Source organism: Homo sapiens, chromosome 19 (genome assembly GCF_000001405.40).
Source record: "Homo sapiens chromosome 19, GRCh38.p14 Primary Assembly".
Taxonomy (NCBI): Eukaryota; Metazoa; Chordata; class Mammalia; order Primates; family Hominidae; genus Homo; species Homo sapiens.
This window is the reverse complement of record NC_000019.10, coordinates 45,947,821-45,960,940: the sequence shown is the minus strand read 5'-3', so window position 1 is coordinate 45,960,940 and position 13,120 is coordinate 45,947,821. Positions and strand designations below refer to the sequence as shown.

The window sequence follows — 13,120 nt, the reverse complement described above, 5'->3', positions numbered from 1 at the left end:
CTAGATGAGGGGGAAGGTCTGCCCTAAGGACAGTGACAGTGGTGGGGAGGGGGCCTCCCCTTCCCCTAAGGGGACAGAGCTGCCCCCAGCCCGAGGGGCCTGGCCGAGCAGATGGGGGTGGGGGCAGGGCAAGACAACGGGCCTGCTGCATATTCATGAGCTCATTTGCATGATGCGCTGGCAGATGTGTCTTTTCCCACACACCTGCCCCCTCTGGTCAGTTGGAGGAGCGAGGGTGGGGAGGGAGGCAGGTGTCAGGGCGTCCCTCCGGGCTTGGGGGCCAGCCAGCCATGTTCCACACACTTGCTCCCCCCTTTGGAATTCTGTCACCCCCTCTTGCCCAGTCTCACTGGTTTTCTCTGTCTCGGTGTCATTCTTTATGTGTCTCCCTCTCATTCTGTTTCTGACTTCTCGTCTCTTGCTCCCCTCTGCCTCCCTCTGTCTCTTGCCCCTCTGTCTGCCTCTCTGTCCATCTCTCTGGTTCTGTTTGGATACCCCCCATCTCTTGTCCTCTTCATCTGTCCTCTGCTTTCCCTGTCCCTCCCCTCATCTTTCCTTCTCCTTTTGTCTTCCTGTCTCTCTCCCCATCCTTTCCTTCCCTCCACCTCTCATAGTCTCACGTTTTTCCTTTCCTCCTCTCTCTCTCTGAACTCTGTTCAATCATCCATTCAACCAGTATCTACTAGCCCCCTCTCACTGAGGTCCTCCTCTGCGGGCGTCACACATTTCTTTCTGCCTCTCCCTTCCTGTGTCTCTTTTTTCCTAAGTCTCAGCTCCCTCCTGGTTTTTTCTTCCCTTCCTCCAAACCCAGTCCCTTTTCTGCCTCTCCCCCTGCTCCATCCTTCTCCCCCAACCATACATTTTCCAAGGCCCCTCCACTCTCTCTATTCCCTCCAAAGTCTCTCACCTCTCCCTATCTCCCTCCCAAGACCAATGCCCGACAAGCATCGACATCTAGGACTCCAGGGAAGGCCTCCTGAATTGCATCTTTGGTCCAGTGCTGGTTCTAGTTCATCCTTAATCCCCTTGGATTTTTTAGGTCAAACACCAGAGCTGGAGCCCAGGGTCAGTACGCACTCATTTTCTCTCTCTCTCTTTCTCTCTCTCTCTCTCTCTCTCCCTCTCTGTCTCTCTCTCTCTCCCCACCCCGTCTCTCCTCTCTCCTATCTTTCCCTCTCTCCTCCCTCTTTCTCTCTCATTCTCTCTCTGCTCTATCTTCTCTCCTCTTCTCTCTCTCTCTCTCTCCACCATCCACCCCGCCCCCAGCCTCCCATCTCACTAAGCAGCTTTGGCAAGAGGTTTAGAGAAAAATCGAGTGAACCAGGCACACCTCCTCCTTTTCTCTTCCACCCTGGCCCAGTTTTCCCCACTCCCCTGTAGCCCACAAGATATGGATAAGACCTCTGTTCGGAATGTTCCTCCGAGGACACTTGGTTCCTTGCTCCTGGATCACATTCTGTGCCACGAGACATGTCGTCCCCTCCCAGCCCATTGACACACCCCACAGGCCAGGCAGCTGGGAAACCCAGAAGGCGGGACAGACATTGGTCCTACCAGGTCAAACAGTATTCAGACAAGCAACAGGAGCCAGCGTCTCTCCTCAGCCCCTGGACATGTGGTCAGCCCCCATCCCCACTCCTGGCGTGCAACTTCCAGATCATACAGCATGAGCCGGCTGCTGACTCAGAGAAGCAGGACACAGCCCCCTACATCCTAGTCCTACATCCCACAGGAATGTAGGAAAATGGAAAAGCTACTGCAGGAGACAAAAAACACTTCCCTCCACTCCTGGCGTGACACCCTGTCATTCATTCATTCACTCATTCATTCAACACACATTCTCTGAGCACTTCCTCTATGCCAGCCCGGTGCCAGACAGAAATGGGGACAATAGCAGTGGCTGAAATGTCCCAGCCTTGCTTCCTTGGTTCTCACATCCCAGTCAGGGAAGCAGACGTCACACCAGTGATGACCCAGAGTGGTCAGGGCTGGGACAGGAAGTCCAGAGGTTGGTAGTTGGAGCCCAAGTGGCACAAAGGACCCAGCCCAGGGAGGTCAGGAAGAGCTTCCTGGAAGAGACGACCAGAGCAGTAGGGAAGGATGAGCGAGGTAAAGTGCAGGGAAGTGTGCCCAGGAAGACAAAATGGCATACTCGGAGGCTGCTGAGCAGTTTGGTCAATGTAGCCAAAGCAGACAGAACATGTGAGAAATGACAGTGGAGAAACTGAAAGGGCACTCTGGGCCTAGTAGGTTAGCATGCACACACACTCACACTCTCACATGCACACTCACACACAGTCTCACACGCTCACACTCACACACGCTGACACGCACACTGTCATGCTCACACACACTCATTCACACTCACACCCTCACACCCACACACACGCTTACACACAGTCACACACACTGTCACACATTGTCACACATGCTTACACACACTCACACTCATTCACACACATCCCACTCACACACACGCTTACACACACATTGTCACACGTGCTCTCACACTCATTCACACTCACACACACCCCACTCACACACATGCTCCCACACACACACACTCTCACACACACACACACACACAGCACTTGGGTGTCTACTACATGAAATAAAAACCTACCTGGCACTTAACTCCAAGAGAAGGGCAGAACACACAACCTCCCCTCCTTTGTGGTGGATCCCAAAGCCCTAGATTCAATCCATCCAGGTCATACATGGAGCAACTGAAATGCAGAAAAAGGCAAGCACCTGCGCAAGGGCCACACAGACTCCCTTGCGTCAGCCCAGATCCACCCTGAGGATTCTATTTTTTTTTTTTTTTTTTTTTGAGACGGAGTCTTGCTCTGTCACCAGGCTGGAGTGCAGTGGCGTGATCTCGGCTCACTGCAACCCCTGCCTCCTGGGTCCAAGCGAGTCCCCTGCCTCAGCCTCCCGAGTAGCTGGGACTACAGGCATGTGCCACTATGCCCAACTAATTTTTTTATTTTTATGTTTTTGTATTTTAGTAGAGACAGGGTTTCACCATATTGGCCAGGATGGTCTTGATCTCCTGACCTCGCGATCCACCCGCCTCGGCCTCCCAAAGTGCTAGGCTTGAGCCACCGCGACCGGCCACCCTAGGGATTCTAAAACACCGTCTGATGTTGAACATCTGCTTGAAGCTTTATACCCTAACTGCTGAAGAAAAGCACAGACACACACACACTTTTTATTTTGTATTTATTTATTTATATTGAGGCAGGGTCTTCCTCTGTTACCCAGGCTGGAGTGCAGTGGCACGATCGTGGCTCGCTGCAACCTCAACCTCCTGGGCTCAGGTGATTCTCCCACCTCAGCCTCCTGAGTAACTGGAACTACAGGTGTGCACCACCAGGCCCAGCTACTTTTTTTTTTTTTTTTAGACAGAGATTCGCTGTTGTTGCCCAGGCTGGAGTGCAGTGGTGAGATCTCGGCTCACTGCAACCTCCGCCTCCCAGGTTCAAGCGATTCTCCTGTCTCAGCCTCCCGAGTAGCTGGGATCACAGGCGTCCATTACCATGCCCAGCTAATTTTTTGTATTTTCAGTAGAGACAGGGTTTCACCATGTTAGCAGGCTGGTCTCGGACTCCAGACCTCAGGTGATCCACCCGCCTCGGCCTCCCAAAGTGCTGGGATTACAGGCGTGAGCCACTGCACCTGGCCTGTATATTTTTTTTTGTAGAGATGGGGTCTCGCTATATTGCCCAGGCTGAACTCCTGAGCTCAAGCCCTCCATCCACCTTGGCCTCCTAAAGTGATGGGATTGCAGGCATGAGCCACTGTGTCCCACCACACACACTTCAAAAAACATTTTTATAGTTTTATAACATACCTCTATCAACGTGCATACTCTTGAATGACTACTTAATACATTCATATTCTTTTTAATATCAAAAATACAAAAATAAAACTGTCATCATTTTATGCCTCCCTCCAAGATACACACATAGAGCTGATCACTCCATGCACCCCAAATTTAGCAGAATGCACAGACTCTGAAGCCAGACACCTGGGTTCAAATCTCTGAACATCCACTACCATCTAAGAGAACTTGAACACATCTTGAGCCCTCTCTGTGCCTCGGCGTCCTTAGCAGGGAATCAGGGACAATAATAATATTGCCTACTTCATATATTAAGTGAACACGTATGTATAAAGTGCTTTGGTCAGGTGCGATGGCTCACATCTGTAATCCCAGCACTTTGGGAGACCAAGGCGGGTGGATCACTTGAGGCCAGACTGGCCAGCATGGTGAAATCCCATCTCTACAAAAAATGCAAAACTTAGACGGGCGTGGTGGCACACGCCTGTAATCCCAGCTACTCAGGAGGCTTAGGCATGAGAATCACTTGAACTGGGAGGCAGAGGTTGCCGTGATCTGAGATCGCACCGCTGCACTCCAGCCTGGGCGACAGAATGAGACTCTTGTCTCAGGGAAAAAAAAAAAAAGTGCTTAGAATGGTGCCTGAGGCTTGGGTTGTATAAGGGTCAGCTATTATTAGACACTCTTGTGGGGCTTAACCAACCTCCCCAAAAGCCCCTGTGGGCCCCCTTGTAAAAACTACAAGGGGATGGAAGGTCAAAGACTTCCTGAGTTGGAAGGAAGCTTCACAGAGAGGCAAACCCTCGGCCAGCTCTTCCTGGGGCATCCACCTCCCCCTACCCCGCCCCCCAGTTCCCACCCCAACCCACACCCTTTCCTATTTACACCAGACGGAGGCAGACTGCAGGCTGACTCACCCTTGGCTCAGACCAAGCCATTGTTCTGGGGTGGGGAAGGGGGGGTAGTAAGAGTGAGGAACATGGCCCAAAGCGGGTGGGGGATGTCAGCTACACAAGTGACCCACAGACAGTGACGCCCAGACACATGGCGAGGCTGGCCTGCCAGACTGGGAAATGGCAATTGAGGAGTCAGGGTCGTGTCACCAGCGTGCTGCACTGAAGTGCTTGCTGGACACTGACACACACCCCAGGTATCCCAGACACACAGGTACACAGCCACACGGTGCCTGGTGCACACTCAAGACACTTTTTGTTTTTTTTCTTTTTTTTGTTTTTTTTTTGAGACGGAGTCCCGCTCTGCCGCCAGGCTGGAGTGCAGTAGCATGATCTCGGCTCACTGCAACCTCCGCCTCCCAGGTTCAAGCGATTCTCCTGTCTCAGCCTCCCGTGTAGCTGGGACTACAGGTGCGTGCCACCACGCCCAGCTAATTCTTGTATTTTTAGTAGAAACAGGGTTTCACCATGTTGCCCAGGATGGTCTCGATCTCTTGACCTCATGATCTGCCCACCTCGGCCTCCCAAAGTGCTGGGGTTTCAAGCGTGAGCCACCGCACCCGGCCACACTCAAGACCTTTTACATTCTCAGGGGCAGAATCCCCTTCAAAGAGAGAGAGACACACTCACACTCCACGCATCACACACATCCCGGCTCACCCAGGCACGCACATTCTCACACTGACCAGTCAAGTTTTCTTTGTCTCGCTGTAATTCACATGTTCAGACACACACATACACAAACACACCAGTCATCCAAAAAGTCCTACAAACTGACACCTGAGTCTACCTGTCTGTCTCTCCTTCTCAGGTTCACACACACTGGTCATAGGGTCTTTCCTGTCTCCTGTACATATGTGTATATTCACACTGGTCATCCAAATAGTCTCAGAAACATCCAGAAGTGTGTCTCTCTTTCACTTTCACAAACACACGTACACACACAAATGCAGACACATACACTGCCATCCAGTCTCAAAGTGGTATATATTCATTGTGTAGCCTCTATCCCACTTTGTGAGATTCTTTTGTTTCTTTCTCTCAAACTCTCACATACACTCAGCTCTGTCTCACAAAGAGTCTACATAACCTTCATCATCAAAGCGACACCAAAGTCTGTCCCACACACAAGGGCACGCACGAACATCTTCACCGGAATCACTGTGTCACATAGTCTGTTCATAAGGCAGTCTCTGCACTTTATCTTCTACAAACACAGATTAGGATCATCTAGCTAGTCCTGCTCAAGTACACACACACACACACACACACACACACACACACACACCACTCACCAGCCTCGCAGACACACACACTGGTCACAGTGTCACCCAGAATCTCTTTCACACACATATCCCAATACCCCCCAGTTTCTCTCTCCCCCGTGCCCCCACTCCCTAACACTCTCATGCAGAAATGAGAAGGATGCCCAGGACAGAGCCACAGCCAGTATCTGGAGAATCTCCAGGAAAGACCCTCCCTCCCCAGTTCCTTGGTCCTCACTCCTCCATGAGCAGTCTTTGACCCACCCTGCTCTCCCCTGTCCACACCCCTGCCCTCCCCCACCCCTCAGCCCTCCATCTGGTGGGTTCAGACAGGCACTCAGGCCTCTCCTCTGCCTCCCCCATCCCCCAGCTCTTCCCCCATCCTCTCCAAAAAGCCCAGAGGCCAACGCTGCAGGCTTTCAGGGGTTGCCATGACAACAGGGCCTCGTCCCTCGTCCCCCTGGGGGTGGGCTGAGGACCCGGCCAGCCAGACCGATAAGGGGGTTCCAGTTACTGTGGCAACCGTTGCAGGCCTGAGCTCTCTGCTTCCAGAAGGGGAGGGGGGCGGAGTGAGTGAATGGTTGCCAAAGCAACCAGGGAACCGCAAGAACTGAGAAGAGGCAGCTGAGCCCTGTCTCCCCTGCCCAGGGCTGCTGTGGGCATCGCAAAACATTTAAGCATCATTCTTCCATCCCTAGAGGTTGTTTTAGGGGAGGGAGATGAAGTGCAGATTATAAAACAGGATGGCACTCATTCTCCCAGCTGCCCATCATGGCCTGCCAGCCCATGCCCGCTCCCCCAGGCTCACCGTGTGATCAGTCAGGTCCACTCTCTGGACCTCAGCTTGCCTCTTCCATTAAATGGGGCCTGTCTCTCAGGAATGTTCCCATTCCTGTCTCATGAGTGTGCCCTCTCTCTCCCTTGCTCAACAGGAACCACAGAGCGGGTATGCCTAGTACAGGGCACGGCAGAGGCCTTGAATGCTGTGCACAGCTTTATTGCCGAGAAGGTCCGAGAAATCCCACAAGCGATGACCAAGCCTGAGGTGGTCAACATCCTTCAACCCCAAACCACGATGAACCCCGACAGAGCCAAGCAGGTCAGCTGGGGCAGAGACTGGGTTGCTGTAAAGCTGTTGACATTCACAAAGAAACATTCCTCCCACATCACTGCTTACTGTGAGGTTCAATGGGACAAAGCTGATAAAAATCTCATCAGTCAAAGACCACATGGTAGTGGTTAGTATTATTTTTAGGGAGTCAGCTCTAATAGAATAGAAAGGACTCCAGAACATTTAGAGTGGGCTTGATTCAGAGAGGGAGTGAAGGTCTGGGAGAATGTGGCATGATTCCCTATTGTTCGATCCTTTCTTCCTAGGATTCTCTAGTTCCTCTTCTCTCTTCCACCTCATCCCATTGTCTCTCTGAACGACCTGCCTCCCACTTCCTGCTATCACCGGAAGTGACCTCAGTGACAGTTCAGCCACATCCAGAAGAGTTTACAAATGGCCTCTCATCCTCCTTCCCTCCATAATTAACGTATGGGGGTAGAGGTGGTGTTTCATTAGCGAGAGAAGAGGTGGGTCCCTCTCCTACACAGCCCTCTCCAGGAAGGAATGGAAGGGGGAAGGCAGCGCCCCTCCGTTGCCTCAGTTACGGGGAAGCAGTGGCATAGGGGCGTGGCAGGGAGTGGCCAATCGCTTCCCGGGCCTGTCCGGTTGCCATGACGACGGCGCTCACGGGGCAGGTGGGCTCCCCTCAAAGCTGCAGGCAGCGCTGTCCGGACCCGGAAGTGCGTAAGGGAACGGAAACGCGGGGCTGGCTCCCGTTTTCTCTCCCGTCCCCACTCCCCTATGCATGCGTACTCCGTGCAATGGGGCGAGAACCCCTGGGCTGACGGGAGGGCCCCTTGCGAGGGCTCGTTAACGTCTACCTAGAGGCAAAGACAGGAGAGAGGGAGTCCGTAAAATCTGGAATTCTTGGGTCCTGTCGTTGCCCTGAGGTGGGGCAGAGCACAGGCCTGAGTTCCCCTAAGCTCATGGGGAAATGGTGGGCGGAGAAGCCTGGAGGAGAGCTGCAGGGTGGAGCGCTCCCAAAAAAGACCGCAGGGCTTGGGGCGTGTAGCGCGGACGCTGTCCTTGGTGCTGAAGCTCCTCGCTCCCCGCCAGGTTTCTCCCGAATCCCTTCCCACCAGCAGCGCACAAGTTATTCACAGTTTACAGGGAGGCGAGGGCATTGCCTCTTCCCTCCGCCTTGGTCGTGGCCACAAGGGACTCAGGGTTCATCAGGAGTTTGTGAATGTTGCAAGGAAAATGGGGTCAGCACCATCTGTGCCTGAGCCTTCTACCCCCTCCCCCTAATCCACAGGAGCTCTGAGACAGTGGAGTCGAAAGGTTATAGAACCAGGATTTATTCCCTGCCTTATTACTCGAGTGTTCCAAAGACTGAGGGAGATCATAGCTGAAAACTCAGGCTCTGGGCTCTGTTGTTTAGTTGAATCCTTCTCCGTACAGTACTTACGTCCTATGTGACCTTGAGCAAGTGACTTTGATTTCTCCAATCCTCATTTTTCTCACCTGTAAAATGAGATTCATTATGATGCCTCCTTAAGGGTGATGGTTAGTGTTCGTTGATGTTTGAAAAGCACATAGCTTATGTGTATAATGCATAGAAAGTTAGCCCCAAAAATGTTCTCTGTTGTTATTATGGGATTTTTGAGTCAGGAAACAGGTCTACTTCTTTTCTGCCTTGGACTTGCAGTGTTACTCAGAGCCCCTTTCCTTCTGTAGACCTCAGTTTCTCTTTTATTACAGTGCAGCAGCTGGGCCAAACCAGGGATTATAAATTAAATAACTAAAGTATTGAAAAAGGTAACAAAAGCCTTGAGGGTTGTTGCTCTCTGGAGAGGGTATGCCATCTTTAAAGGGAGAAGCTGCCACTCAAATCCACCGAATTATTGCACTTTGGGAACATGAACATAGTGCTACCACATCTTCCAAATTTTTCAAAAGAAGCCATAAATTTTTTAGATCAACTGACTTTAAAATGCTTTATTATTATTATTATTTAATATATATTAGTCTGAGGCAGAGTCACACTCTGTCACCCAGGCTGGAGTGCAGTGGTATGATCTAGGCTCACTGGAGCCTCGACATCCCAGGCTCAAGCGATCCTCCCACCTCAGCCCACTGAATAGCTGGGACTACAGGTGAACACGACCACGCCTGGCTAATTTTTTTTTCTTTTCTTTTTTTTTTTTTTGAAACGGAGTTTTGCTCTTGTTGCCCAGGATGGAGTACAATGGCCTGGTCTCAGCTCACTGCAACCTACAACTCCCGGGTTCAAGTGATTCTCCTGCCTTGGCCTCCCAAGTAGCTGGGATTACAGGCACCTGTTACCATGCCTGGCTAATTTTTTGTATTTTTAGTAGAGATGGGGTTTCACCATGTTGGCCAGGCCAGTCTCGAATTCCTGACCTCAGGTGATCTGCCTTCCTTGGCCTCCCAAAGTGCTGGGATTACAGGCATGAGACACTGCGCCCGGCCCCTGGCTAATTTTTGTATTTTTTGTAGAGACAGGATTTCACCATGTTGCGGGCTGTTCTCTAACTCCTGGACTCAAGCAATCCACCCGCCTCAGCTCCCCAAAGTGCTGGGATTACAGGCGTGAGCCATTGCGCCAGGCCAACTCTGCTTTTAAAACACTATGAAGGTCAAAAAAACATGTATGGCTGTAGGCTGACTGGGGCCTGAGGATCACCAGATTGCCACTTCTGGGTTATACCAGTGGCTCTCACCCCTAGCTGATATCTGAGTCATCTGGGTAGCTTAAAATGCAGATTCATGGGTCCTGTCCAGAACCACTGAATCAATATTTCTGGTAAGGCTTAGGAATCTGAGCATAAACTCTGGCCCGGGATCAGATCCTGACTCTACTGCTCATTACCTGTGAAAGAACTTGTGCAAGTTCTTTCTTTGTGCCTCCATTTCCCAATCTAGAAAATGGGGTAATAATAACACCTATCTTAGGGTTGTGGTGGAACCTAGATAAGTTACTCTATTAAACTGTTAGCTGTTGATGCTGCTTTTGTTGTTATTGTTGGTGGTGGTAGTAGTAGTATTTGCAAATTTCCATGGGCTTGCAAATCACTGGGGCAGATGGTCTCTGGTCCTTCTGGCTCTAAAACTTCAACAGTTCTATGGCTCTGTGATTCCAAGATTCTAAGCATGTATTATCTAAGATTCTACTGTTCTAATGTCCTGGGATTCCAAGATTCTATGAGTCTGCATCTGCAGATCTTTCTAAGATGCTGTAGTTCTACAATTCAGGGTCTATCATGAAGGCAGCTGCCATTGGCTTAGCGCTTCCCATGTGCCAGGCACTGGGCATCACTTTAGTCATTGAATGTTTCCCATAACAGGCCGGGAGCAGTGGCTCATGCCTGTAATTCCAACACTTTGAAAGGCCGAGGTGGGTGGATCACCTGAGGTCAGGAGTTCGAGACCAGCGTGGCCAACATGGCAAAACCCCATCTCTACTAAAAATACAAAAAAATTAGCCGGGCATGGTGGTGCACACCTGTAGTCTCAGCTATTCAGGAGGCTGAGGCAGAAGAATCGCTTGAACCTGGGAGGCGGAGGCTGCAGTGAGCCGAGATCGCGCCACTGCACTCCAACCTGGGTGACAGAGCAAGACTGTAAAAAAAAAAAAAAAAAGAATGTTTCCAATAATAATATAGGGTAGGTGTGGTTATGCTAATACTGGAGATGAGAAAGGTAAGGCACAGAGAGGTGAAGGCATTTGCCTAAGGTCACACAGTTACTAAAGAATAAACTAGGAGGCTGGACGTAGTGGCTCATGCCTGTAATCTCAGCACCTTGGGAAGCCGAGGTGGGCGGATTACTTGAGGCCAGGAGTTCAAGACCAGCCTGGCCAACATGGTGAAACCCCATCTCTACTAAAAATACAAAAATCAGCCAGACATGGTGGCAGGCGCCTGTAATCCCAGCTACCCCAGCGGCTGAGGCAGGAGAATCACTTGAACCTGAGAGGCAGAGGTTGCAGTGAGGCAAGATCGCACCACTGCACTCCAGCCTGGCTGACAGAGCAAGACTTTGTCTCAAAAAAAAAAAAAAAAAAACAACCTACGATTTGGACCTTGCTGTGTTGTAGAAACAGCAACCCTGCTGACTGAGTGACTCCAGAGAGCAGGCTTCCAGTGTCTCACTGAATATTTGCACAAATCGTATGGATCGGGAATAGTATGCCCATTTTACAGATGTGGAAAAAGAGGCTCTGAGAAGTAAAGGGACTTTCACAGGCCACCAGCTAGGAGGTGGAAGAGGTAGAAATTTTCTTAAAACCTAACTTTATTTTTCCCACATGATTAACCCCTTGTCCTCAAACCTTTTCTTGGCCAATCTATCCTTCCTTCACTGCTCTAAAATACTGCATCACAGACTAAATACCACTCCTGGTTGTGGTTGTGAACATGCTGTTCCATCTTCTTGATTTGTCAGGCTGTTTGTTTTTCCTGGTGTTTTTTTTTTTTTTTTTTTGAAATAACAGCTCTGTTGAGCTATAATTCACATACTGTAAGCTTTACTGTTTAGAAGTGTACAGTTTAGTAGTTTTGTTGTATGTTCACAGAGTCGTACATCAGTTACCATCTAATTCCAGAACATTTTCATCATGCCAAAAAGAAACCTTGTGCCCATGAGCAGTCACTCACCATTCCCCCAGATCCCAGTCTCAACGTCTTCCAGCCACTAATCTACTTTTGGTCTCTGTGGACTTGCCTATTCTGGATCTTTTATATAAACAGAATCATATAATATATGGTCTTTTGTGTCTAGCTTTTTTCACTTGATGTAATACTTTCGAGGTTTATCTATAGTTTAGCATGTGTCAAAACTTTACTCCTTTTTATAGACAAATAATGTTTCATTGTATGCATAGACCACATTTTGCTTGTCTGTTCATCAGTTGATAGACATTTGGGTTGTTTCTCCTTTTTAGCTATGATGAGTAATGCTTCTGAACATTCATGTACAAGTCTTTTTGTAGATATATATTTCCAGCTCTCGGGTAGATACCTAGGGTGGAATTGTTGGGACATATGATAAATCTATGTTCAACTTTTTGAAGAACTGCCAGACTGGTTTCCATAATAGCTGTACCGCAGATGTGGGATTTAAATCCAGCTCCATCCATGGGGATAACAATGACAATAATCATTTCTTTTTCTTTTCTTTTCTTTTTTCTTTTTTTTTTTTTTTTTGAGACAGAGTCTCCCTCCGTCCCCCAGGCTGGAGTGCAATGGCGCAATCTCGGCTCACTGCAAGCTCCCCCTCCCGGGTTCACGCCATTCTCCTGCCTCAGCCTCCCGAGTAGCTGGGACTACAGGCACCCGCCACCACACCTGGCTAATTTTTTTGTATTTTTAGTAGAGACGGGGTTTCACCGTGTTAGCCAGAATGGTCTTGATCTCCTGACCCCGTGATCCGCCCACCTTGGCCTCCCAAAGTTCTGGGATTACAGGCATGAGCCCCCACGCCCGGCTGACAATAATCATTTCTTGAGTGCTTCTATGGCTTATATTAATTGCACACATACATGATGCCCTATGCTTGGCACATAGTAGGTGCTCAGCACATGTCACTTATTTGAATGAATAGGTGATGACTTCACCCACAGGGCCAAGCAGAAACATAGGGACTGAGGTGTAATCTGCCAATGGTAGCAGTTGTGAGTCACCTGAAGGGCACTCACTCTCAGTTCCAGCTACTTGTGGTCATGCTTGGATTTCAAGCTCACCATTACATGCATAAGCTCAATTAAGCTTCATCATAGTCCTATGAGGAGGTCTGAATATCCTTGTTTTACAGATGAGAAAACTGAGTCTCAAAGAGGTTAGGTCCCTTGCCCAGCATCAGACAGGGAGCCAGGATTTAAACCCAAGCAGGTGACTCCAGAGTCCAAGGCAGCTTTTCAGGGATTTGTATGCACAGACTGCAAATGGGTAGCCTGGCTAGTACATTGCATTGTTTCTACTACACA

At 49.9% G+C, this 13,120-nt stretch overlaps 1 protein-coding gene across 2 annotated transcripts in view, besides 2 other annotated features; it reads left to right on the top strand.

Annotated features, from left to right (window-relative positions):
- The window catches only part of NOVA2 (NOVA alternative splicing regulator 2), a 40,132-nt gene that overhangs the window by 12,925 nt on the left and 14,087 nt on the right, over window positions 1-13,120 (top strand). For both annotated transcript variants that reach the window (NM_002516.4, XM_006723230.4), the window contains one exon: window positions 6,995-7,161. In NM_002516.4, coding sequence (NP_002507.1) covers window positions 6,995-7,161 — 167 coding nt within the window. The remainder of the gene's footprint in view (window positions 1-6,994; window positions 7,162-13,120) is intronic.
- Window positions 31-604: an enhancer, noted in NCBI's record as "OCT4-H3K4me1 hESC enhancer chr19:46463595-46464168 (GRCh37/hg19 assembly coordinates)". NCBI's record gives its function as "activates a minimal SCP1, AML or CMV promoter by ChIP-STARR-seq in primed H9 embryonic stem cells {active_cell/tissue: H9 hESC(primed)}" and the evidence as "EXISTENCE:reporter gene assay evidence [ECO:0000049][PMID:30033119]".
- Window positions 7,459-8,406: an enhancer, noted in NCBI's record as "H3K27ac-H3K4me1 hESC enhancer chr19:46455793-46456740 (GRCh37/hg19 assembly coordinates)". NCBI's record gives its function as "activates a minimal SCP1, AML or CMV promoter by ChIP-STARR-seq in naive H9 embryonic stem cells {active_cell/tissue: H9 hESC(naive)}" and the evidence as "EXISTENCE:reporter gene assay evidence [ECO:0000049][PMID:30033119]".